Source organism: Homo sapiens, chromosome 2 (genome assembly GCF_000001405.40).
Source record: "Homo sapiens chromosome 2, GRCh38.p14 Primary Assembly".
Lineage (NCBI taxonomy): Eukaryota > Metazoa > Chordata > Mammalia > Primates > Hominidae > Homo > Homo sapiens.
This window is the reverse complement of record NC_000002.12, coordinates 128015601-128042029: the sequence shown is the minus strand read 5'-3', so window position 1 is coordinate 128042029 and position 26429 is coordinate 128015601. Positions and strand designations below refer to the sequence as shown.

The 26429-nt window shown below is 45.6% G+C and overlaps 1 protein-coding gene across 20 annotated transcripts in view, besides 4 other annotated features; it reads left to right on the top strand.

Annotated features, from left to right (window-relative positions):
• Positions 13284–13433: a silencer, noted in NCBI's record as "silent region_11945". NCBI's record gives its function as "represses an Ori minimal core promoter by ATAC-STARR-seq in GM12878 lymphoblastoid cells {active_cell/tissue: GM12878}" and the evidence as "EXISTENCE:reporter gene assay evidence [ECO:0000049][PMID:35858748]".
• Positions 13684–14203: a silencer, noted in NCBI's record as "silent region_11944". NCBI's record gives its function as "represses an Ori minimal core promoter by ATAC-STARR-seq in GM12878 lymphoblastoid cells {active_cell/tissue: GM12878}" and the evidence as "EXISTENCE:reporter gene assay evidence [ECO:0000049][PMID:35858748]".
• The window catches only part of SAP130 (Sin3A associated protein 130), an 86838-nt gene continuing 74379 nt past the window's right edge, over positions 13971–26429 (top strand). For 7 of the 20 annotated variants that reach the window (XM_047445826.1, XM_047445825.1, NM_001330299.2 and 4 more), the window contains exons 1-4: positions 13971–14090; positions 15732–15849; positions 24115–24350; positions 25483–25641. In XM_047445826.1, the coding sequence (XP_047301782.1) occupies positions 15738–15849; positions 24115–24350; positions 25483–25641 (507 nt within the window). In that variant the 5' untranslated portion in view covers positions 13971–14090; positions 15732–15737. Of the gene's footprint in view, positions 14091–14723; positions 14939–15731; positions 15850–24114; positions 24351–25482; positions 25642–26429 lie in introns of those variants that run through there. The other 13 variants (XM_047445818.1, XM_047445822.1, XM_005263767.4 and 10 more) reach the window with 2 other exon arrangements.
• Positions 14304–14643: a silencer, noted in NCBI's record as "silent region_11943". NCBI's record gives its function as "represses an Ori minimal core promoter by ATAC-STARR-seq in GM12878 lymphoblastoid cells {active_cell/tissue: GM12878}" and the evidence as "EXISTENCE:reporter gene assay evidence [ECO:0000049][PMID:35858748]".
• Positions 14704–14993: a silencer, noted in NCBI's record as "silent region_11942". NCBI's record gives its function as "represses an Ori minimal core promoter by ATAC-STARR-seq in GM12878 lymphoblastoid cells {active_cell/tissue: GM12878}" and the evidence as "EXISTENCE:reporter gene assay evidence [ECO:0000049][PMID:35858748]".

Genomic DNA, 26429 nt, shown 5'->3' with positions numbered 1-26429 from the left:
AGAGTACCCAGCAATAGTCCCCCGCAATACCACCACGTACCTGCTCGGGGATGAACAAGGGCAGACTGCTTGGTAAGCTCTTGAAAAGGCTTGGTTTCACTGCACCCTGTTAAGTCTCCAAGGAATTCTAACATTTCCCCCTGCCATGAAAGGCATGAGGTGAAGTTAACATCAGGGACTGGAGGCCAGATGGCCCTCAGGGCTGACCCACAGGGCTCTTGACCTCAGGGAACAGCAGTGAAAGAGTCTTGCATGACTCATCACCCCAGGCTGTGGGGTTCTGAAAGAGAGCTACCATACAGCTCATGCCTGGTCATGAGAGTCCATGAGTGGACCACCCAAGTGGAAAGGGGACAATTCGGGTCTCTGGCCTGCCTGTCGCACAAGCATAACAGTCACTTTTGTTTAGCTTGTGAACAGAATATTTAATCCATTCCAGACAAGCATTTGCATCCTGATACCGTGTTTCAATTGCTATAATTTGTTTTAAATCTTTAACCACTACAACAGCTACTTTGGTTTTATCATTGGATATATAACGAGAAAAGGTTTGGTTAGCAGAGAACTTAGGAGAGGGAGAAGGGGGTGCAGGAGGTGGGGAAGCAATGAAGCACATTTCAAAGGATCCTATGGGGTCCTTCCCTGAGACTTCTGCTCCTATATCATAAAAATGGCTTAATGAAGGGGAAGAACTCTGGGGAGCAGAGATGGTAATCTGTGCTGGATTACATTGGTTCAGCTGACAATGGGGAGGGGTAATTCCTTTAGTAAAATGAATATATGGTTTTAAGAAACTGCAAGTACTCGTTGGGGTGGTTCATACTTGCTCTTTAGTATTTCATAGAACATTGGACCAACTTCAGCAGAGAAGCTCTGCTCTAAGAGGACAAGATTCCTGGTTCACACTGGAATCTTTGTCAAACTTTTCCCTAACTAACTTATCCCAGTTAACAAATGCCCAATCTGAAGAGAGCCAGGAAGGACAGAGATACTTTTCTGAGGTGGAGAGTTGCTTTTGACTTGACAAATCTCTGTGGGGTATAACAAGGCAAGCATCAAAGGTAATAGTTTGGGGTGAGCTTGACTTGGTTACATTAATGATAAGGGGACTAGCGATGGTGGGGGGCAGGGAAGGAAAGAAATACAGAATAAGAGGGTTAAACCTGCTTTAGACTTAGTTTGGAAACAGTTGGTCCTGGAACAATGGTGCATGATTCTGGGAACGGTGGTGCCTGCTTAACTTGAGTGTCATGAGTCCAGCTCTTCTCGGTGGTCCGAACTGCTGTCTCAGTTGTTAAGAGCACTAAATAAGGTCCTTCCCAAGTGGGCTCAAGCTTCCCTTCTTTCCAACTCCTGATGAGGACGTGATCTCTAGGCTGGTGTTGGTGAACTGGAAATTCAAGAGGTGGAGTCTGGGCTAGAATGCCTTGAGTCTTAAGGGAGGAAAGGGCAGAAGGCAGACCTAATATATAGTTTTTGAGAAACTGAGTGAGGGTTTTCTCACTCAAAGGCAAATAGGTCTCGGCTGTCCTCTGCTATTGGACAAGCCCAGAAGGCATCTTTTAAATCTATTACTGTAAGCCACTGGTGACTGTATGGGATCCTACTGATAACAGTATAAGGATTGGGAACAACAGTGTGTGTAGTTTGGACTATCTGATTAATAGCTCTAAGGTCTTGCACTAACCGGTATGACCTGTCTGGCTTCTTTACAGGCAGTATCGGAGTGTTATAGGGAGACATACAGGGTTCAAGAAGCCCATCACGGAGGAGACCTTTAATTATAGGTTTTAAATTTACCCTGGCTTCTAAAGGAATAGGGTATTGCTTTCGCTTTACTACTTCCCCAGGGGTTTTTAATTTAACAAGAATTGGAGGAATCTGTAACTTTCCTCTATTCCCGTCTTTTGACCATACCTCGGGATGAATGTGTTCTTCATCTGCGGTGGTGAGCAAGTTTAGAGAGGGGAGGAATTTTCCATGATTGATTTGGAGTCCTAAGCCTAATTTTAGCATGAAATCCCTTCCTAATAGATTTGTCCCTGCTTCTGGAATTAATAGAAATTTGATACTAGCTGATCGGTTTTTATATTTCACTTGTGTCTCCTACTTACTGGTTCCTTCTTTAAATCCATATTTTCATTCCTGGGTGTTATGTCTCCCCCCATCTCTCTCAGCCCCTATGTCCTACCCAGGACAAAGCACTATTAGTTGGCCTAGCAGAGAGGAGCTGAGCCGCTGACGGGAGTGTGCTGACGGTCCTAGTAGGCCCTGACTGCAGCCAGCCACACCTTTGCAGGGACTCTGGTTGCCGTAAACACACAGCTGGGCTGAAGTGGGCAATGCCGGGCGCAAGAGCCCTCCAGAGTGGTCCCTCAGCCAACCTGTCCCAGCCGCCCAGCTTGCAGCCGAACTTGCCTTTCTTCCTCTTTCCTTGCCAGCTTCACAGTCATGCCGGGATGGGGTAAAAGGACAAGCTTTTATCTACTTTAAACAGTCATGCCACACTGCCAACACAGTTTTCAAAGCATTATAGCCTTCAAAGAGATCCTTTCTTCCTTTTCTAATTTTAAGTTCGAAGGCTTCGCTTTTTGGTGCTCTTTATATGGCTTGGAAAGTGGGGGCCTAGGCTCTTTATAGGTTCTCGCCCCCTGAGTACTGTGTGGTACGGTTGACAGCAGAAGTTTTGCCTTCTGCTTTGTCTGTTGTTTCTTTTCGTCCCTTCTTACGTACACTTTTGAGTCTCCCTAAGAAGTTTACTCATGGGACGGTTTTTCCAATTTTCTATCTTTTGTAATTTCTTTGAAATATCTGTCCAACTGTTAGTAAGAAAATGAAGTTTTAACATTCCCTGCCCAAGAGGATCCTCGAGATCTAGACCTGCATACTTTCTCATTTGTTCTTTTAATCTGTCTAAAAATTCTATAGGCCCTTTATCTTTCCCTTGCTGAATATGAAATGCCTGGGTAAGATTCTAGGTTCAGGGTACTGATTTTTAATTCCTTTTATTATCATTTCCCTAAGGTCTTGCATATTTTCTTGGTGGGCTGCATTGTTATTGTCCAACCAGGGGTCTTGGGAGGGGAATTTTTGATCTGCTGCAGGAACGTTTTGGCCAGGAGGGTGTTCACGTTCCCAGACTACCATAGCAGCTCTACGAATGATGCTTCTTTCTTCTCCTGAGAAGAAGTTGCCTAGGATGGACATTAGCTCAGCCTAAGTATGTAACTGTGGTCCTAGAAAGTGGTCAATTTGGTTTGCTACCCCGTAAGGGTTGTCTAATAGTGGCTTAAGCTCTCTTTTTAGGTTTTGTACTTCTGAGCTGGTTAAAGGAGCATTTACAAAGCCAATGCCTCCTCCTCCTAGGGGCACCTCCCTCAAGGGGAAGAGAGCTGGAGCTGATTCCCCTAAGGCAGAGGGGAAGGGAAAGTTTGGGGAAGTTTTGAATATCTTTTTTACATTTCTCTATTTCACGTTGAAGTCCCTTTAGGGAAGGGTACTTAGGCTGGTAGTGATTGGGCTCTTGGGATGATTCCCAAGAGGCAGGGTTATAAGGAGGGGGAACAACGGGGGTAGGAGAAGGGTCTGGGACAGCAGCTGCTTGAGGGGGAGGAAAGTTAGGAGTGTTTGGTGGGGGAAGGTGATTTAGCAGGTCCGAGGTGTAGATTGCTTGGGGTTAAGAGTTTCAGTTTCCTTAGGGGAAACATTCTCTGGCTTACGCTTATCTTTTAGAGTTTTGGGGGGTAGAGAAGAACAGGTCCTTGTCACCAAAACAAGGCATAATCTATCTCTTCTTGGGAAACAAGACTCTTGATATTAACATGTTCTATTAGAAGCTGACAAATCCAGTACTCATTTGACCCAAATTTTGTCCACAAAACTGAGGGTTTGAGGATTGGTTCCTGGGTCCAAATAAAACTATTTTATCATTCGTTGCTTTATCTTATGCTTAGTCCTTTATTATCTTTCAAATACTTTAACATGAGACCTAAGGGACTATCAAGGGGAATATCATTGCTGTTAGGTTTATCCTTTTTACTTCCTGTCTTACTTGGGGTATTTCCAATCTTGATGGTTTTGGGGTGAACCTTAACTTCCCCTACTGGAAATTTTTTTGCCTTCCCTAATACTAGAGGTTTGTGTGAGGCTCAGTGCCCCCTACTGGAGATTTCTCACCTTTCCTTTCTTCTAGAGGCTCAATGCCTCGTATTAGGGATTTCTTGCCTTCCTTTTCTCTAGAGGCTCAACCCTCCCTGGTGGGGGCTTCTTGCACTCTTTTCCTTTCATTTCATCCTCTCTGGCCACTTCCCCAAAGGGAACATCGGGTCCCTCTTAACGTTGGCGAATCAGTATAAACCCCTGATGGGACCCTCGAAAGGCCGCCATATGAGGTGACCATGGAACCACAGATTGAACTCAACTCACTCTGCACGCTAGTAGTGCTTATTCACACACTTACAGCTTTCAACCTCCAAGATCTCCCAACAATCAAGGAAATACGTTGTCAACCCAGTAATGTTTCTTACCTTGGTCTGTGCACAGAGTTACCTGGTTGCCATGGTATATGATGATCTTTTTCTTTTTTTTTCCCAAGTTGTTGGTCTGTTTTTTCCTGCATTGCTGAGAGTCCAGGTTTATTCGTCACACCAGGTGGGTCTTGATTCCTTACCCCTGAGTCCACTGCAATGAGGCAGCAGGGCACACCTCCTCACAGGAGAGGACTGGACCCTTCCCCAGAGGAGAATGGGAATCCTGGACGAACCCCCAAATTTGTTAGAAACAAGCTTCAGTGCTGCAAAAGAAATAGCACTCAAACAGAAATTTTCTCAGCAAGGCAAATTTACTTCCGCAGAAGTGTGCAGCTTGCGCCAGTCACGATTGCAAGAGCACACTGAGCAGGGTGGGGCAGGGGTTTTTATCCCTAATGCAATTGGTTCCTACTGCTGTGTTCTGTCTTCATTGGCTGGGGTGGGACCGCACAGTCTAAACTGACCTGATTGGCTAATCTTTGAAATTGAACACAGCTATCTAGGTGGGAAGGGGAAGGCTATCCTTTATGACATAATGCATGTCTAGGCCTGTCAGGCATGTCAGGGTGCAGCAAGGGTGGGATGAGTTGTTTACAGCATGGGCAACTATAGAAACCAGAGAAACAAAGAACTGGAAGAACAGGGAATTAAAAACTTTTGAAGAGGAATTTATCATCTCTGACGCTAGGAAGGTCAAAAGGCAGTTGACCAATGTCTGAATTAGAGGTGTTACAACAAAAATGCGGATGTAAATCAAAAACAAAATTCTAAGTCCTCCAACTGACTGAACGGAGCCCCCTCTCCACCAAGGGGACCCAAAGACACCTGAAAAACTAGTTCAGGCTGTGACAGGAATGGGACGTTTGGACATGCCTCATTGTACTCTCCTTCCCTTCCAATTTGGGCACAACTGACCAGCATTAACATTGAAACAGAGATCATAAGACTGACAAAACAGATTATTTGTAGCAAGAAAATAGCAAATTCCAACCTGACTCTACTATATCATGACATGACAAAGAAGGAAATGAAAATATTTTACCTCAAAATATATTTCTTTGCCATACTTTGAGATGACCCTGCAAAGCCATATTTTGCAGGGAGAAATTTGCATCTGTGAAAAATCTCTATCAATATAACTAGATTTTTTTTCCCCTTGCAGGTCCTCCCAATCCTGAAGAGAGTAACTAAGAGTTCAGCATCCTTTAAAGGTCTAAATAAGAAGCATTTGGCCAGGCACAGTGGCTCACACCTGTAATCCCAGCACTATGGGAGGCCAAGGCAAGTGGATCACTTGAGGTCAGGAGTTTGAGACCAGCCTGGCCAACATGGTGAAACCCTGAAACCCTGTCTACTAAAAATACAAAAAAAAAAAAAAAAAAAAAAAAAAAACCCAAAACATTTGCCATCTCTCTCTAAGGGTGACCACCTATGTAGACTTCATCTACATAGTAAGAACCTTGATCTCCACAATCCCTGATCTTAATCCAAAGACTCCTTTCTCTTGATTCCAGGTTTTTAGATAATCACTTTTTTGGGGGGGGTGGTTGGAGGGACCAGGTTCTTGCCATGTTGCCCAGGCTGGAGTACAGTGGCATGATCATAGCTCACTGAAACCTAGATCTCCTGGGCTCCAGTGATGCCCCCACCACCCTCAGCCTCCTGAGTAGCTAGGACTATAGACATGCACCACCGTGCCTGGCTTTTTTTTTGTTTTTTTGTTTGTTTGTTTGTTTTTGGTAGAGACAGGGTTTCACCATGTTGCCCAGCCAGGTCTCAATCTCTTAGGCTTTAGGGATCCTCCCACCTTGGCATACCAAAGTGCTGGAATTACAGGCATATCCCAACATGCCTGGCTAGATAATAACTTATCTCTTTCAACTAATTGCCAATCAGAAAACCTTTTAATCTGGCTGGACACAGTGGTTCATTCCTGTAATCCCAGCATGTTGGGAAGCTGAAGCAGGTGGATTGCTTGAGCCCAGGAGTTCAAGACCAGCCTGGGCAACATGGCGAAACCTTGTCTCTACTGAAAATACAATAACAGCAAAAAATTAGCCAGGCATGGTTACACGTGTCTGTAGTCTCAGCTACTGCAGAGGATGATGTGGGAGGATCACCTGAGCCAAGGAGATTGAGGTTGCAGCAAGCCATCATTACACCACTGCAGTCCAACCTGGGCAACAGAGTAAGACCCTGTCTCAACAACAACAAAAAGAAAATCTTTGAATCCACCTATAACCTGTAAGCACCCCTTCCCCTGCTTCGAGTTTTTCTGCCTTTCCAGATTGAACTAATGTATACATCACATGTATAGGTTGATGTCATCCGTCTCCCTAAAACATATACAACCAAGCTGTAACTCAACCACCTTGGGCACATGTTCTCAGGACCACTTGAGACTGTGCCTCAGGCCATTGTTATATCATACTTTGCTCAGAATAAACCTGTTTAAATATTTTACAGAGTTTGGGCCGGGCGCAGTGGCTCACACCTGTAATCCCAGCACTTTGGGAGGCCAAGGCAGGCAGATCACCTGAGGTGAGGAGTTTGAGACCAGTCTGGCCAACATAGTGAAACCCCATCTCTATTAAAAATACAAAACTAGGCCAGATGAGGTGGCTCACGCCTGCAATCCCAGCACTTTGGGAGGCCGAGGCAGGTGGATCATGAGGTCAGGAGATCGAGACCATCCTGGCTAACATGGTGAAACCCTGTCTCTACTAAAAATACCAAAAAAAAAAAAAAATTAGCTGGCCGTGGTGGCAGGCACCTGTAGTCCCAGCTACTCCGGAGGCTGAGGCAGGAGAATGGCATGAACCCGTGAGGCAGAGCTTGCAGTGAGCCAAGATCACACCACTGCACTCCAGCCTGGGCAGCAGAGCAAGACTCCATCTCAAAAAAATAAAAAAATAAAAAATAAAAATAAAAATACAAAAATTAGCCAGGCTTGGTGGCAGGCACCTATAATCCCAGCTACTTGGGAGGCTAAGGCAGGAGAATCACTTGAACCCAGGAGGCAGAGGTTGCAATGAGCTGAGATGGCGCCACTGCACTCCAGCCTGGGTGACAGAGTGAGACTCTGTCTCAAAAAAATAAAAAAATAAAAAATTTACAGAGTTTGGCTTTTTTTTTTTTTTGAGATTGAGTCTCACTCTGTTACCCAGGCTGGAATGCAATGGCGCCATCTCGGGTCACTGCAACCTCTGCCATTCAGGTTCAAGGGATTCTTATGCCTCACCCTCCCCAGTAGCTGGGACTATAGGTCCACGCTGCCACATCTGGCTAATTTTTGTATTTTTTAGTAGAGACGGGGTTTCACCATGTTGGCCAGACTGGTCTCGAACTCCTGACCTCAAGTGATGTGCCAGCCTTAGCCTCCTAAAGTGCTGAGATTACAGGCGTGAGCCACCATGCCTGGCCAAGATTGGCTTTTTTTGTCAACATAGGTACTGTGGTATATAAAAATATTATGGTAAGAAAACAAGCCAGGCATGGTGGCTCACGCCTGTAATCCCAGCATTTCAGGAGGCCGAGGTGGGAAGATTGATTGAGCATAGGAGTTCAAGACCGGATTGGGCAACATATCAAGACCCCATCTCTACAAAAAAATTGTATGCTATATACTTTTATACAACTGGCAGAGCAGTAGTTTTATTTGTTGTTTTGTCTCTTAAAATAGATATGGCAGCCGGGTACACTGGCTCAAGCCTGTAATCCCAGCACTTTGGGAAGCTAAGGCAGGAGGATCACCTGAGGTCAGGAGTTCAAGACCAGCCTGGCCAACATGGTGAAACCCCATCTCTATTAAAAATACAAAAATTAGCCAGGCGTGGTGGTGCACACCTTTAATCCCAGCTACTCGGGAGGCTGAGACAGGAGAATCGCTTGAACCCAGGAGGCGGAGGTTGCAGTGAGCCGAGATCACGCCACTGCACTCTAGCCTGGGTGACAGAGCAAGACTGTGTCTTGAAAAAAAAAAAATTAAAATAGATATGGCGTCTCATGATGCTGCCCAGGCTGGTCTCGAACTCCTTGGCTCAAGGGATCCTCTTGCCTCAGCCTCTCAAAGTGCTGGGATTACAGGCATGAGCCACCACACCTGGCTCAGTTTTTTTTACACCAACATTTTGTTTTGTTTACACCAACATTACCGCAAATATATGAGTAATGCTTTGCACTAGATATTATGACAGCTAGAAGGTCACTAGATGACAGGAATTTTTCAGCTCCATTATAATCTCATGGAACTAGTCATATATGCAGTCTGTCCTTGACCAAAATATTGCCATGGACTACATGGCTGTATAAGTTAACATCGTACAGGAAGTGCCATCCCACCACCTCTGCCATTTGCCATTGGTTAGTAGAAAGTCGCAGGTCCTACCCACACTCAAGGCAAAGGAATGATCCCTTTGCCTTGGTTCCTACATAAGGGTAGGACCACTGGGAAGAGATCACGCGGGACCATCCTAGAGTCTCCTGCCACACCTGGCATAGGTGCTGCTGGGGTGGGGACAGTGGTATAGAATGTGATACCAGGAAGAGAGAGATTCTTGAGTTTGCCCAGGGTAATAAACAGATGGAAGTTGTAAAAACGATGGATACAGGCAAGCTCAAAAGCAACACATCCTTTATGTGTATGGCTCATTTAATCTACACAACAAGCTGGAGATAAATAAGGTTATGCTCATGTTACACAAGTGACCTGGAAGAAACTAGGCTTTCCTTGACTGGGAGGTTGAGTCAAGGGGAGTATTTGGACAGAGGGCAACTGCAGAGAGTCAGTATCGTTAGACTGCTCACGCAGTGACTAAGTGAGAACCGTCTGGGTCCGATGGTAAAGAGGCCCACCAAAGTGTAATTACCTGGCTGACTGGGCATACTGCCTATGAGTTAGCCCTGCTCCACAAGGAGCAGTACTATTCAATAAAAAGTTGCAGGCTACTACCACCAGTTTGCCCTGGAATTCTTAAAAAAAAATTTCTTTAAGAGAAAAAAATGCAACAAAGTGTTGGATCACCCAGTGGGTTCTTCCTGTCCACTGTACAGACAAAATCAATCCACTGAGACCGTGGCATTGCAGCAGAGAAAGTGTTTAATTGACAGGAGGTGGGCAACAGGGAAGAATTAGAGTTATCACTCAAACCAGTCTCCCTGAAGGCTCAGAGCTTAGGGTTTTTATGAACAATTTGGTAAGCAGGGGGATAGGGAATGAGTGCTACTGATTGGTTGGGGATGAAACCATAGGGGTGTGGAAGACATTCCTCGTGTGCTGAGTCTGCCTCTAGGTAGGGCCACAGGACCAGTAGAGCCATGAGTCACGAGTTCAGATCGGATCAGTATGAAAGATATCTCAAAAAAAAATCTTTACAACAGTGATGTTATCTATAGGAGCAACTGGGGAAGTCATAAATCTGAGACCTCTGGCCACATGACTCCTGAGCAGTAAAGGATTATAGAAACTGACTACTTTTTAGCAGAGTTCAGGCCCCTCTCATAATCCTATTCTTGTGGTCTTTCGTTGGTTTACAAAGGTGGTTTTGGTCCCCAAGCAAGGAGGGGGTTAGTTTTAGAAAGGGACTATTATCATCCTTGCTTTCAAGTTAAACTATAAATTGTGAAACATAGCTGAGTCTATACCCAGGAATAACCAAAGACAGCGTGGAGGTCAGAAGTAGGATGGAGTCAACTATGTTAGATATCTCTCACTGTCACGATTTTGCAAAAGTGGTTTCAATCACATCACCAAGTCTCAGGGACCATTCGCTGACATCTGACTGACTTCCACAGAACACTCACGTGGAGAATCTGCTTTTCTCTAGAAAATCACCGAGCAGATATGATGCCTATTGTATATCTGCTTAATCTATTCAAAAGATCATGGGTGGACAACACTTTTTTTTAATTTTTTTATTTTTTGAGACTTGCTTTGTCGCCCAGGCTGCAGTGTAGTGGTGCAACCTTGGTTCACTGCAACCTCCACCTCCCAAGTTCAAATGATTCTCCTGCCTCAACCTCCCATGTAGCTGGGATTAATTTTTGTACTTTTTGTACTTTTAGTAGAGATGGAGTTTCACCATGTTGGCTAGGCTGGTCTCGAACTCCTGACCTCAAGTGATCTGTCCGCCTTAGCCTCCCAAAGTGCTGGGATTACAGGTGTGAGCCACCGCGCCTGGCCAATTTTCAAGAACCTCAAATACTAGTAAGCTCCTGAAACTGGCATAGGGCTTGAATACTTGAGGAGTGTAGAAGGTTCAGTCTGGCTGGGGCACAAGGTGTGTTTTCTGCACACCAAGTTCAGTTGATGGGAATTCTAAACCCTAGTGATAAAAGATGGGTGAAGCACCTGTTTTCCTTTAAGTGTCCACTATGTGCAGGACCAGAGACATGGATGAATAAAGCCATAGCTACTGTCCCAAGTAACTCAGGAAAACTCCAATTTCAATCATATAGTAACGCCGATGTGTTTGTGATTATATTTAGCAAACATTTATTGAATGCTTCCTGGATCTAAAACCCTGTTGACAGGAGATATAAAGACAAATAATTTCTCTGTTTGCCTACTCCAGGAGGAATATGGGCAGACACAGATCAGTGCTGTAAGAGAGGTACTGAGGAAGTTCTATGGAAATATTCTAGAGGGTGGGGAAAAGAGAGGAATTGGAGGAAGGCTTCTTGCCGAAGAGAAACAGTTTTATTTCCGGTTAGGCATTATAGAATTGGCAGAACTCTTCTAGATGATTGCTGAGCATCCTAGCCTATTAGAAGGCACTTCAGGCCAGAGCAAAATGCTGGAAGCCAAACTGCGCAGATAACTAGTAGAAACTGTTGTTGGCAGAGTATCCAGTGTCTGGAGAGGCAGGAGAGACTAAATTATTAAGGCCTTTGGATAATGGGCATAGGGATTTGGAATATATTCCGAAGATATGGAAACATCGTGGATGGGAAGGATAGATCCAGATTAGTGATTTAGAAAAAGAATTCTGGAGGACATAGTGGGTGTAGGAAGAGATTTCAGTGGGGGCAGCAGCATTGCTGCAATTCAGATAAGAAATAATGGCAGCTTGAGCCACAGCTATGGAAACAATAGAAAAGGAGGCAGAGGTGCATATCAATGTAATATGGCGGCTGTGGGAGATGGAAGAGTGTGGAACATATATGAAGCTGAAGACAGAAAGGATGGTGATGCCAGTAAGTAAACCCAGGTATCAAGGGGAGTACACAGGGGAGGCAAACCAATAAAGGTGTTCAATACATTAACTTTGAGGGGCTTGTTAAGACTTCTGTGTGGATTGGCCCATCAGGCGGAAATATAGGTATACAACTCGGAGAGGTCACCTATGCATAGGTAACATTTTCAAAGATATTTGAGGCTGGGTGTAGTGGCTCATGCCTATAATGCCAGCACATTGGGAGGCTGAGGTGGGCAGATCGCTTAAGCCCAGGAGTTCAAGACCAGCCTGGGCATATGGTGGAACCCTGTCTCTATTCAAAAAAAAAAAAATATATATATACACACACACACACACACACACACACACACGTATATATACATATATATACATATATACATATATATACATACAACTCCATCTCAAAAATATATATTATATATATAAAATATATGTATTCATATATAAATATATATTTTTGAGACAGAGTTTCGCTCTTGTTGCCCAGGCTGGAGTGCAATGGCTTGATCTGGGCTCACAGCAACTTCTGCCTCCCGGGTTCAAGCAATTTTCCTGCCTTAGCCTCCTGAGTAGCTGGGATTACAGGAATTTGCCACCATTCCCGGCTAATTTTGTATCTTTAGTAGAGATGGGGTCTTTCCCATGTTGGTCAGGCTGGTCTCGAACTCCTGACCTCAGGTGATTCGCCTGCCTCGGCCTCCCAAAGTGCTGGGATTACAGGCATGAGCCACGTGCCTGGCATATATATATGTTTAGTGGGGTGTGGTGGCATGCGCCTGCAGTCCTGGCTACTCAGGAGGCTGAGGCAATAAGTTAGTTGAGACAAGGAAGTCGAGGCTGCAATGAGCTGTGATCACGCCACTGGACTTCAGCTTGGGCTGAACTGAGAACCTGTCTCAAAAAAACAAAAAACAAAAAGGATGACATTTGAAACTGTGGAAATACATTAAACCATTTAGGAAGGCAGTATAGCATTAGCGTGTTGGAGCCCTGAAGAATGCTGTATTTATGAGAAAGAGGAGGTATAATGGAGCTTGACATAGGAGTAGAAGCAGGAGACAGCCTGGTTCTAGAGGCCAAGGGAAGACATGAGGAGGAATTACTACTGGTCAGTAAGCTAAACAAGATGAGATCTAAGTGAGGACCGATGGGTTTGAAGTTGAGTAGGTGTTGGCAACTTTTGGGGAGCAGTCTGAGAAGAGTGGCAACTCCAAAAGGGATAAGGACTGCCTAGGCAGAGAGGAGGCTGAAGTCTATCACAGGAGTCACTCTTTAGAAGTTTGAGAATGAAGGCATGAAGGTGGAAAAGGAAAGTGGCTTGAAGAGGAGGAGTATCTGAGACTCATCCCTGGGCTATAGCCAGGAGCTACTCTCTTCTAACCAAGCAGTTGTCTTACACAGCTGTGCATGATAGGAAGAGGGGGGTTTGAGCCCCATTTATTTCCTAACTAATCACAAAACTCCAGGCCTAAATTACCATCTGGTAAGGGAAGAGGGAGACTTAATCTCTTATCAGACACAAATGTGGCCTCAAAAGATATGGCTAAGTCTTCTACAGGTGCATAAACTCCAACCCTGAACCCCAAGCAAAATGACAAAATAAAACTGCCCCCTTCAGCTCCTTTATAATCCGGAAAGCGCGCGCAGGTGCGCCCCGGCCGCCCAGAGCCCTGCGCCCTGCCGGCCTGCTTTCACAGAGCCGCGCCCGCGCTGCGCCTGGCGGCTCCCGCCGCGCGTAGGCTGTGCCGACCGCGGTTCCCGGTGGGGACACCGAGTCCCACTCGCGGCATAGGGAGGCGGGCACCGTCACGACACTGGCCCGGCCCGCGGATCCCTTGGCCGCCGCAGTTGGCCTCCATTACCCTTTCCCGCGCCGCGCCTCCCCGCGGGGAAAATGAAACCCAGTGCCCTCAGGTTAAGGCATAGGGTGGGATCCACTGTCTTCTCACTTAGCCAAGAGAAAAGGCAGAACCGACTTCAGACAGCAAAGGGGTGTGTTGCCCTGGCCGGGTCGCCTGCGGCCCCGCCCCGGCGCTCTCCACCTCCTTCGCGGCCCGCCCTCCTGACTCCGGCGACTACATTTCCCACAGGACGCCGCGGCTCAGAGGGGCGGGCCCGTCCGCTCTCCCGCTCACGACCACCGGCGACTGGCTGACTCGGCAGGGGGCGGGGCCTGCGCCAGCCAATAGACGGGAGGCTCGTTACGGCGGCGGAAGCAGCGGCGCTGGAGTGAGGGGTGGGGGGCAGAGTGCTAGCTCCCCGGCGGTGGCTGCGGGTCCGGAGCCTGGGGACGTCGGCCCCACAGACGGAGAGCGCGCGGGAGCGAGCTCAAGGCGGCGCGGCGGCCACTGGGCGCAGCACCCAGGTAATGGCGGGACGGGCGCCCGGGAGGGAAGGGGAGGAGACGAGGGGGCGGGGCGGCTGAGCCGGGCTGCAGCGTCCGTCCCGTTGCGCGTCCCCGGGGAAGGGCAGAGGATCCTCGTCTCCTGCGGCTCGGACCGCGGCTCTTTCGCGAGCTGGTCACGGCGGTTGGGCCGGCGACAGGGGCTGGGTGTCCTGTGGCGAGGAAGGGAGAGGCACCGGGAGGGGTGGGCTGACCCGGGCGTGGGGGCGTGGCGGACGTGGGCCTTGGCGGGGAAGCAGAGCGGCCGGGGGAGCGCGGGCGGGCGGGCGGGCGGGCGGCCGGCCCAGGGAGTTTGGCTCCTGGAGCAGTTTAAAGTGACTCTCCACATCCGGGCCCTGCGCCCGCCGCTTTCAGACCCTGGCTGAGGCGGGGCCTCCCCGCTCCCCGCCCCCTTCGCCGGGGGCGCCTGTCTTCCTCTGCCATTGGCTCAGCCTCGAGGGGTTTGGGCTGCCCCGGCCAGGCTCGCGCCTGATTGGCTGGCAGTCGGCGGGAGGGTGGGGCGGGCTCTGAACGTGCAGGTCGCTGTGGATTGGTCCTGGGCCTCCACTGACGCGTCGGGCGTGGGGCCAATGGGCGGGCGGGGGAGGCAGGGGCAGGTTCGGGGGAAGAGGACTGCGAGCACAGCGGCGGCCGGGTGGCGGGGGTGAGTGGGGCCAGCGGGGCTGGACAGCAGCGGGCCCCGGGCGCCGCCGCCGCGATCCCTCCCCGCGCCCGCCGAGCACATCGCCGCCGCCGAGATGGGCCCTCCGCGGCACCCCCAGGCCGGCGAGATAGAAGCGGGCGGTGCGGGCGGCGGGCGGCGGCTACAGGTAAAGAGGCACAGTGCTCGTCTTGTGGTCGGGTCCCCAGATCGCCCGTCCGCACCCCCACCCCGGAGACGGGGGTCTCACACTCCGAGGTGTCTGGAAACCGGCGTCCTCCGGTCTCAGCGGGGGCTTCGCGGTGGGGTGGGGTTGCGGGCGAATCGGGAGATCGCTTGGCTCCTGAGGGAAAAGTGGGGGGCGATTTTAGGGAAGATGGAGAAGGTGTAGGGTCCTCTGGCTCTGTGAGGGGATCTGTGGAAGAGAAGGAAAAGGAAATCCGTAAATGGAGGCCTTTGCCGAAAAGCATTGGAGAATTCCTTTTGCATCGGGTCTGGATGTAAGATATCGGATCTTTTCTTAGGGCTGGATATCTTCCTCCGAATGTTCCTATGACATACTAATCACAGTTCTGTTCACCTTGGTGTGAGATTTGAGTGTTTCAAAGAGACATGCCATTTTCCATAAAACTTTACACAGAGAAATACACATGCATTGTGGTAATACCTGTCATGTGACTCTTGTACAGGATTCAATGGTGATTTTTTTAGCATAGCAATCCACAAGTATTTATGGAGGGTCATAGTACCCGCCAGCTCCGTATAAACAATATTTGTAGAAAACTTAGGTAGTTTAGATAATGTCTGCATTTATATTGATCCCAAGTTATTGTTTTTAAATAAATGATGCAGCATTTGCTTTTCCAAGGGACTATCTCATAGGTACTAAAGATGCTTTAATTTCTCAGTATTGATTCAGATCTCAGAATCTAGTAATAACCATATAACTGTATGTACTACAGGTGGAAATGAGTTCTCAACAGTTTCCTCGGTTAGGAGCCCCTTCTACCGGGCTGAGCCAGGCCCCTTCTCAGATTGCAAACAGTGGTTCTGCTGGATTGATAAACCCAGCTGCTACAGGTGAGATATGTAATATTCTAATATATTTTTTCCTACTTTAAGAATATTACCAGTTTTCTAACTTAAAAATTAGCAGATTCTTCTAGGATTTTAGTAAATTCTTGTTTCTTGAATTTGAAGAAAGGGTATATTACTATTCTAATTTAAACAAGGCTTTTTTTCCTTCCTGTTTTAACCACTTCATTCACATAGAGTACACATGCAACTTATAGCAAAGCGTGCCTGTAAGAACTGTTTTTGAAATGCATTAATATATTCTTGTTTAATTAATGTCCAGGAGTATAGCATTAGTGCTGTGAGGGAGCCCAGAGGTGTTTAAGGAACAGATCTTGTCTTTTAGGGGTTTATTATCTAGGAAAAGAAGTGGAAAACAAAGGATATGCGGTTTCCCTATGGTGTCTGTGGGGGATTGTTTCCAGGACCCACCTTAGATACCAAAATCCATGATGCTCCACTTTCTGATGTAAAATGGTATAGTGTTTGCATATTACCTATACCTATCCTCCAGTATATTTTAAATCATCTCTAGATTACTTGTAATACCTCCTACAATGTAAATGGTATGTAAATAGTTGTTATACTGTATTGCTAAGGGAATAATGACAAGAGAAAAAAGTCTGTATGTGCTTAGTACAGATGCAAGCAGGGTTTTTTTCCCCCCCTGAATATTTAACATCCAAAGTTGGTTGAATTCACATCAGGGAACCCATGGATACAGAGGGCTGATTGTATACACATAGATAAAACTTGGTTTTTAGTCTTATACCCTTTGAGTGGTAGAAATTAGTGGTTCTCAGTGACAGGTGTTTGGGGAGGTGATTTTTCCTCCAGGGGAGTACTTGGCAATATCTAAAGACAGTTTGGTTGTCACAACTAAAGAGTACTATTGGCATCTGATAGGTAGAGGCCAGGGATACTGCTTAACATCCTGCAAGGTAATGGGAAGCCCCCCACAACAGAGAAGTATCCAGTCCAGTCAGCAGTGCTGAAGTTGAGGAATTCCTTCAAATACTCTTTTTCTCTATGTATTAAGTAAATATATGACATTGCAAAGTGAAATAAATGCTTTTCTATTCCTTTTTCTTCACCACTGGATTCTGGTGTTCCTTATGGTAAATGATACCACTGTCTACTCATTGCTCAAACCAGTAGCTGAGGCTTTTTTTTTTTTTTTTTTGCGCAATAGGGTCTCACTCTGTCACTCAAGCGGCAGTACAGTGGCATAATCACAGCTCACTGCAGCCTCGATCTTTTGGGCTCCCCAGCTAATTTTATTTTATTTTTTATTTTTTTAATTTTTTTGAGACAGAGTGTCACTCTGTGGCCCAGGCTGGAGTGCAGTGGTGCGATCTCAGCTCACTGCAGTCTCTGCCTCCTGGGTTTAAGTGATTCTTGTGCCTCAGCCTCTGAGTAGCTGGGATTACAGGCATGCGCTACCATGCCTGGGTAATTTTTTTTTTTTTTTTCGCATTTTTAGTAGAGACAGGGTTTCACCATGTTGGCCAGGCTGATCTCGGACTCCGGACTCCAGACTTCAAGTGATCCACCCTCCTTGGCCTCCCAAAGTGCTGGGATTACAGGCATGAGCCACCACACCCAGCCACATGTTCAGCTAATTTTAAATTTTTTTGTAAAGAGGGGATCTCACAATGTTGCCGAAGCTGGTCTCAAACTCCTGGACTCAAGTAATCCTCCGTTCTCAGCCTCCCAAAGTGTTAGGATCACAGGTGTGAGTCACTGTGCTGAGCTGGAAGCATCTTTAATTGCTCTGCGTTTTCTTATGAGCTATGGCCCTTGTCTAATGTTCCAGCCTCATTTCTTACTATTTAGCCTTCCTCCTGCCAACCTAATTTTTTTTTTTTCCAATGGAGATGGAGTCTTGCTATGTTGACCAGGCTTGTCTCAAACTCCTGGCCTCAAGGAATCCTCCCGCCTAGGCCTCCCAAAATTCTGGGATTACAGGTGTGAGCCACTTGGGTGGCCGCCAACTTAGTTTTTGTTATAAATTTATTTTAGTTCTCTTTAGACTTGAAGTGACTTTAAGCTACTTATGACTCCTGCTCGATGGTATCTACTCATATTTCTAAATAAATGATTAAAAAATTCCCAATTTCACGACTTTGGGACTTTGCACATTCTTTTCCTTTTGCCATAGTCTTCCTTGTTTCTTTCCATATACTTACTTATTTGGCTAATTCCTTCTTTTTTCAAGTTTCAACTTAGATGTTATTTTCTCTAGAATATTCTAGAGAATATTATTATTCTCTAGAATAACAGAAGACTCTATCTTCCATAACAACTCAGGTAGAGAATCTAGAAATAGAACCAGATATATATAGCCAATTGATTTTTGATAAAAGTTCCTAAGTAATTCAATAGGGAAATGATAGTCTTCTTTTTTTCTGAGACGGAGTCTCACTCTGTCTCCCAGGCTGGAGTGCAGTAGCATGATCTCGGCTCACTGCAAGCTCTGCCTCCCAGGTTCACACCATTCTGCCTCAGCCTCCTGAGTAGCTGGGACTACAGGCGCCCACCACCGTGCCCGGCTAATTTTTTGTATTTTTTAGTAGAGACGGTGTTTCACTGTGTTAGCCAGGATAGTCTCGATCTCCTGACCTCTTGATCTGCCCGCCTCAGCCTCCCAAAGTGCTGAGATTACAGGCATGAGCCACTGCGCCTGATGGTCTTTTCAGTAAAATAGTGCTGGAAGATCATAACATCATTATGGGGGAATAAAGGCTGTGTGCAGTAGGCTCATGCCTGTTATCCCAGCACCATGGGAGGCCAAGGCAGGTGGATCGCTTTGAGCTCAGGAGTTTGAGATAAGCCTGGGCAACATGGCAAATCCCCGTTTCTACAGCAAATACAAAAATTAGCCGAGGCCAGGCTAATTGTACAGTGGCTCATGCCTGTAATCCTAGCATTTTGGAAGGCTGAGGTGGGCAGATCACCTGAGGCCAGGAGTTCGAGACCAGCTTGGCCAACATGGTGAAACCTGTCTCTACTAAAAATACAAAAATTAGCTGGGCGTGGTGGTGGGTGCCGGTAATCCCGGCTAATCGGGAGGCTGAGGCAGGACAGTCACTTGAACTTTGGGAGGCAGAGCTTGCAGTGAGCCAAGATAGCGCCACTGCACTTCAGCCTGGGCAACAAAGCAAGATTCCGTCTCAAAAAAAAAAAAAAATTAGCCAGGTGTGATGGCTCATGCCTATAGTCCCAGCTACTTGAGAGGCTGAGGTGGGAGGATCGCTTGAGCCTGGGAAGCGGAGGTTGCAGTGACCTGAGATCTTACCAATGCACCCCAGCCTGGGTGACGGAGTGAGATCTTGTCTCCAGGAAAAAAAAAAACAAGAACTTATAACTCAGTAGTAAAAAGACAAACAACCTGATTTTTTTTAAGACGGGAAAATATTTGAGTACAGAAGAGCTAGATAAGTGCCAAAGAAGCACATGAGAAGATGCTCACCATTATTAATCCTCAGGGCAGTGCACATTAAAACCACTGTGAGAAACTACTGCACATCCAGTAGAAAGACTGAAATTACAAAGACTGACAATACCAAGTGTTGGAATGGTTGTAGCGCAAATAGAACTCATACTTTATTGTTGGGAATGCAAAATGGCTAGCCACTTCAAGAAACAATTTGGCAATATCTTATAAAATTAAATATACACTTACCACACCACTGAGCAATCTCATTCCATAGGTATTTATCAAAGGTAAATGAAAATATATGTTTATACAAGGACTTATATTCACATGTTCGTAGAAACTGTATTCATAATAGCCAAAACAGGGTTCTCACCAAATGTCTATCAGATGGTGACAGGATAAGCAAATTGTTGTGTGTCCATCCGTGCAGTGGAATGCTACTTGGCAATAAAAAGGACCAGACTACCAGTATACACAACATTATGGATAACCCTCAGTAACATTACACTAAGGAGAGAATCCAGATACATAGGACTACAGATGGTATGATTGTGTTATGTGAAATTCCAGAAAAGACTATGCCATAGTGACAGAAAGCAGATCAGTGGTTTCTGGAGAATAGAGGTTGTGGGGAGGGAATTGACTGCAAAGGGGTGTGAATGAACTCACTGGAGTAACAGGAAATGATCTGTATCATGATTGTGTTATACCGCTGTATACTTTTGCGAACACTTATCTAATGTTACACAAAGAATTAGTGAATTTTATATGTAAATTGTACCTCAGTAAAGCTAATTGATTAAAATGGACAAAAGATAAACATGCACTTCACTAAAGAAGATATATATGAATGGGCTGGGATCACATAAAAAGATGTTCAACATTACTAGTCATCATGGAAATGCTAATTAAAACTACAGTGAGACACACACTACAACCCACTAGAATGGCTGTATATCAAGCAATGAGTAAGGAAGAGGAGCAGCTTGTATACTGCTAATGGGAACAGGCAATGCTACAATCACTTTGGAAATGACTTCGGCAAAGTTAAACATATACTTACCATTTGACCCAACCATTCTGCTCCTTGGTGTTGCTGAGGATATTTGTAAAAAAATTATTGAACTTTTCTTGTAAACCAGTGGTGGTATTCTATGTAATCTATTCCCCAATAAAGAGGTTTTATAGATCAAAATTTTAAAAATTCTGAATGACCTGGGAGAAAAGTCAATATATAGTGAAAAAGAAAACGTATATCAGTCTTTTCTTTCCTCTCTGTTTTTTTGTTTTTTTTTTTTTTTGAGATGGAGTCTTGTTCTGTCGCCCAGGCTGTAGTGCAGTGGCGCGATCTCGACTCACTGCAACCTCCACCTCCCGGGTTCAAGCAATTCTGCTGCCTCGGCCTCCCAAGTAGCTGGGACTATAGGCGCCCGCCACCATGCCCAGCTAATTTTTGTATTTTTAGTAGAGACAGGGTTTCACCATATTGTCCAGGCTGGTCTCAAACTCCTGACTTTGTGATCCGCCCGCCTTGGCCTCCCAAAGTGCTGGGATTACAGGCTTGAGCCACCACGCCCGGCCACATCACTCTTTTCATCCAGCACTTGTACTTTTAGGAATTTTTTCCTGAAGAGATCATTGGACAAGATTGTTGATAAAAGCAAAAATTTGGAAATAACCTAAAAGCCCATCAATGATACAGTGATTTTAAAAGCTATAGTACATCTATACAATAGAATCCCATTTCACTTTTTTTTTGAGACAGAGTCTTGCTTCGTTGCCCAGGCTGGAGTGCACAGTCTTGGCTCGCTGCAACCTCTGCCTCCTGGGTTCAAGTGATTCTTCCGCCTCAGCCTCCCGAGTAGGTGGGATTACAGGCAACCGCCATCATGCCCAGCTAATTTTTGTATTTTTGTGGAGACGGGGTTTCACCATGTTGGATGATGGTCTTGAACTCCTGACCTCAGGTGATCCACCTGCCTCAGCCTCCCAAAGTGCTGGGATTATAGACATGAGCCACTGTGCCCGGCCCCATTTCACCTTTAAAAAATGATGCAGTATTCTCTACCCAGTAGTTCTAATCCTAGGTATATATTGAGTAGAAGTGGTACATATGTTCACCAAAAGACACGTACAAGAACATTACTAGCACTATTCAAAATAGGAACAAACTGAAAACTAAAGTGCCTCTTAAGAGTAAAATGGATAATTTGTACGTTACTCGTGTGTCGTACTATATACAGCATTGAGAATGAAAGATCTACAGCTGTGTACACTAATGTGAATGAATCTCATACCTGTAAGTGAAAGAGGCAAAGCACAATAGGGTGTATTTGTTATAAGTCTGTTTACGTAAAGTTAAAAAACAGACAATACTAATCTATAGTGTTACAAGGTAGAAGATTGATTTCCTTCGGAGGATAGTGGCTAGAATAGGGCCAAACTAAGGGTCTCTGGGGGACCAATAATGTTTTCTATCTTGAGCTGGGTGCTATTTACTCAGGTTTATTCAGTTTGTGAAAGTCCATTGAGCTGCACAGCTAACATTTGTGCACTTATCTTTATGAAAATCATACTTCAAGAAAAAAAAGTCAAATGAATAAAAACCCAAAATTTAAAAGAAGCGAGAACTGTCACCAAAACTTTAAGTGTTGGTGCCTTTGTGGGGTAAGTTTGGGGGCAACATTACTTTGTTTATGGTACTCCAAATAATTTAAATTCTCTACATAAGTAAATATTATCTTTATGCTCAGAAAAAAAATTATTTTGGAAAAATTATAGACAAATATGAGTTAATATTTTCACAAGCTCTTCCTTTATTACATCAGTATTGTTCTCTGATTTTTTTCCACTTAATTTTTTTTTTTTGACACAGAGTTTTGCTCTTGTCCCCCAGGCTGGAGTGCAGTGGCAGGATCTCCCAACCTCCACCTCCCGGGCTCAAGCAATTCTCTGGCCTCAGCCTCCTGAGTATCTGGGATTACAGGTGTGCACCATCACACCTGGCTATTTTTTTGTATTTTTAGTAGAGACAGGGTTTCACCATGTTGGACAGGCTGATCTCGAACTCCTGACCTCAAGTGATCTCCCCACCTTGGCCTCCCAAAGTGCTGGGATTACAGGCGTGAACCACCACGCCCGGCCTCCACTGAATTTTTAAATACTTAATTTTTAAATAGGCCAGGTGCAGTGGCTCACACCTGTAATCTCAGCACTTTGGGAGGCCAGAGGTGGGAGGAACACTCGATCCCAGGTATTCAAGACCAGACCAGGCAACATAGTGGAACTCTTTCTTCATAAAAAAATAAAAGAATTAGCCAGGTGTGGTGGCATGTGCCTGTAGTCTTAGCTGCTTGGGCAGCGGAGGCAGAGGCTCACTTGAGTCCAAGAGTTTGAAGCTGCAGTGAGCTGATATCCTGTGACTTCGTTACAGCCTGGGAGACAGAGTGAGACCTTGTCTCAAAAAAAAAATTTTTTTTAATTAAAAAAAATTTTTAAATAGATTGTCTTCTGGTAGACCAAAACACCAAAAGAAAAAGAGCATACATTGGAAAATATCTCTCCTATCTCTGTCCCTCAGTTTTGAAAAATTATATGTTCTTAAAGTTAGGAACCGTACTTAAAATATCTTTTTTTTTTCTTTTTTTTGAGATGGAGCCTCACTCTTGTTACCCAGGTAGGAGTGCAGTGGCGCAATCTCAGCTCACTGCAGCCTCCCATCTCCTGGGTTCAAGTGATTCTCCTGCCTCATCTTCCCTAGTAGCTGAGATTATAGGTGTGTACCACCACGCCCGGCTAATTTTTTTGTATTTTTAGTAGAGACGGGGTTTCACCACGTTGGTCAGGCTGGCCTGGAACTCCTGACTTCAAATGATCCACCTGCCTTGGTTTCCCAAAGTGCTAGGATTACAGGCTGTGCTCAGCCCCCAACCACCTTTTTTTTTTTTTTTTGAGACAAAGTCTCACTGTGTCATCCAAGCTGGAGTGCAGTGGCACAATCATGGCTTGGCTCACTGCAGCCTTGACCTCCCAGGGTTAAGTGATCCTCCTCCCTCTGCCTCCAATATAGCTGGGATTACGGGTGCATGCCACCATGCCCATTTAATTTTAAAATTTTTTGCAGAGATGGAGTCTTACTGTGTTGCCAAGGCTGGTCTTGAACTCCTGGGTTCAAGGGATCTGTTTGCCTTGGCCTCTCAAAATGCTAGGATTGCAGGTGCAAGCCACTGCACCAGCCATCCTTTTTTTTTTTTTTTTTTTTTTTGGAGACAATCTTCCTCTCTCGCCCAGGCTAGAGTGCAGTGACGGAATCTTGGCTCACTGCAACCTCTGCCTTTTGGGCTCAGGTGATCCTCCCACCTTAGCCTCCCAAGTAGCTGGGATTACAAAAAAACGTGGTTTTTGGTTTTTGGTTTGTTTTTTTTTTTTTTTTTTGTATTTTTAGTAGAGATAGGGTTTTGCCATGTTGGCCAGCATAAAATATCTTTTTAATGTCAGGCTTTTATAACTTTCTAAGAGGATGTTTTAAATGAAATTGTCTTACATCCTGTATTGTACTTTTAACTATTTCAGCTCATTTTAGATGATTTTCAGGTAGTTTGTTCATAAGGCTACAATATCCAGAATAAATTCTATATTCCACAGTTGTGGCTCTTTTGTCTGATGTCCATCAGGAGAATCCAGTGCCCATATTGACCTTGTTAAGAAAACATCACAAGGAAATGGCCACTTTGTCAATCCTGAGATTTAACTTCAGGTACCACTCTTGTCTGTGCTGCTATCTTACACTGGGAGACTGTGACATACTGTCTCACTCTTAATGTCTTTACTAGTCAATGATGAATCTGGTCGAGATTCTGAAGTCAGTGCCAGGGAGCACATGAGTTCCAGCAGCTCCCTCCAGTCCCGGGAGGAGAAGCAAGAGCCTGTTGTGGTAAGGCCCTATCCACAGGTGCAGATGTTGTCGACACACCATGCTGTCGCATCAGCCACACCTGTTGCAGTGACAGCCCCGCCAGCACACCTGACGCCAGCAGTGCCACTTTCATTTTCGGAGGGACTTATGAAGGTAATGGAGAGGGTTAAAACTTCACACTGAACCAGAGCTCGAGACTGGCTAATGTTTGTAACAATTTGTATAAAATCTTAGGCTGTATCTTAGGATCACATTTCATTTTTTCTTTATGACATATGAGTTCAGCTCCTTTCTGTAACTCAGCCCTGATTTTCTGCAGTGCCTTGTCTTGTGCTGCTGGGCAGTTGGCATCATAGGATCTTTGCTGTTATCCATTTTGATACTGATATTATTCAACTTATGGGCATGTTAAGTTAGATACAATCTTGAAGGGACCCTCTTTTTTTTTTAAGCCAGTCAGATTTAGCAGTGGGGGCTTAATGACATTAATGTTTTGTTTCTGTTTTTATTTGAGACGGAGTCTTTCTCTGTCATCCAGGCTGGAGTGCAGTGGTGCGATCTTGGCTCACTGCAACTTCCACCTCCAAGGTTCAAGCGGTTCTGCAGCCTCAGCCTCCCAAGTAGCTGGTATTACAGGCGCACGTCACTACGCCTGGCTAATTTTTGTATTTTTAGTAGAGATGGCGTTTCACCATGTCGGCCAGGCTGGTCTCAAACTCCTGGCCTCAAGTGGTCTGCCCGCCTTAGCTTCCCAGATTGCTGGGATTACAGGCGTGAGCCACTGTGCCCAGCTGACAGTAATGTTATAAGTTCAGATAACCCAGTACCATGGGACCAAGTGGAGTGGCACTCTTCTTTAAGGTTTGTTTTAATAACTGGTTAATTTGGGGGTTTCTGAGAATATTGCCTGTGTATTACCTTGGGGTTGTGTTTCAGTTACTGGGAGTTTTGTTCAATCCACCCAAACTTGGGAGGCAGCATCATGTAGAAGAAAGGGTGTGGGCTGTGAGCCATACAGCTCTGGGCTTTATTCCCAGTTCTACTTCTTACTGTGTGTGTGGCTTTGAGCAAGTCAGTTAGCCTTGCTTTGTATGTTTCTTTATCTGTGAAATAGAAATGCTAGTACTTCAGTGGAAACACTGTGATGATAATAGATAAAATGTATAAAGCTTACGGCATCTTTCCTGGCACTTTCCAGGTTCGATTTGTGCACTCTTAATTGTGGATTGAAATGCATCACCAGTATGAGGCCATTGATATGTTTTGTGTGGTTTTCTGTTTGCAGCCGCCCCCGAAGCCCACCATGCCTAGCCGTCCCATTGCTCCTGCTCCACCTTCTACCCTGTCACTTCCCCCCAAGGTTCCAGGGCAGGTTACCGTTACCATGGAGAGTAGCATCCCTCAAGCTTCAGCCATTCCTGTGGCAACAATCAGTGGACAACAGGTTTTTCTTCCTTTTAATTTGCTGATTTTCAAACTGAAATGCCAAACTGTTGATCATGATTTATTGAATGCTAGCAGTACATTAGTCACGGTAATAAAAAAAGATCAAACAGTCACTGATACCTGCAAGTGAAGATAGTAGGTTTGAGAGAGAAGGATAACTGTAAAGGGAGTAGAAGCCAGTGTCCATAGTGGTCATTTAGCTAGAATTTATTGAGCAGCTACTAGATGCTCGATTCGACCCTAGTGTGATATATAAATCTAGATAAAACAGTCCGTGTCCTTGAGGAGTCCGGAGTCCGGTTCGTGTTTGGTTTTAGCGTCAAGAACTGCCTTCCGGGGGTAGGCAGTGCTGCTCTGTGGTTTCTCTGAGGAGAGCAGATGTGCATCTCTTGGGATAGGTTACCTCAAGCAGCTCTCTAGTTCCAAACTTTTTTTTTTTTTTTTTTGAGACAGAATCTCACGGTGTCACCCAAGCTGGAGTGTAGTGGTGCAGTCTTGGCTCACAGCAACGTCCACGTCCCGTGTTCGAGCCATTCTCTTGCCTCAGCCTCCCGAGTAGCTAGGATTACAAGCGGGCACCACCACCCCCAGCTAATTTTTTTATTTTAATAGAGACGGGGTTTCACCATGTTGGCCAGGCTGGTCTCCAACTCCTGACCTCAAATGATCTGCCCGCCTCGGCCTCCCAAAGTGCTGGGATTACAGGCATGAGCCACCGCACCCAGCCTTAGTTGCGAACATTTATTCTGAAGTCTTCTGTTTTAAGGTTTTTTTGTGAAATTTTGC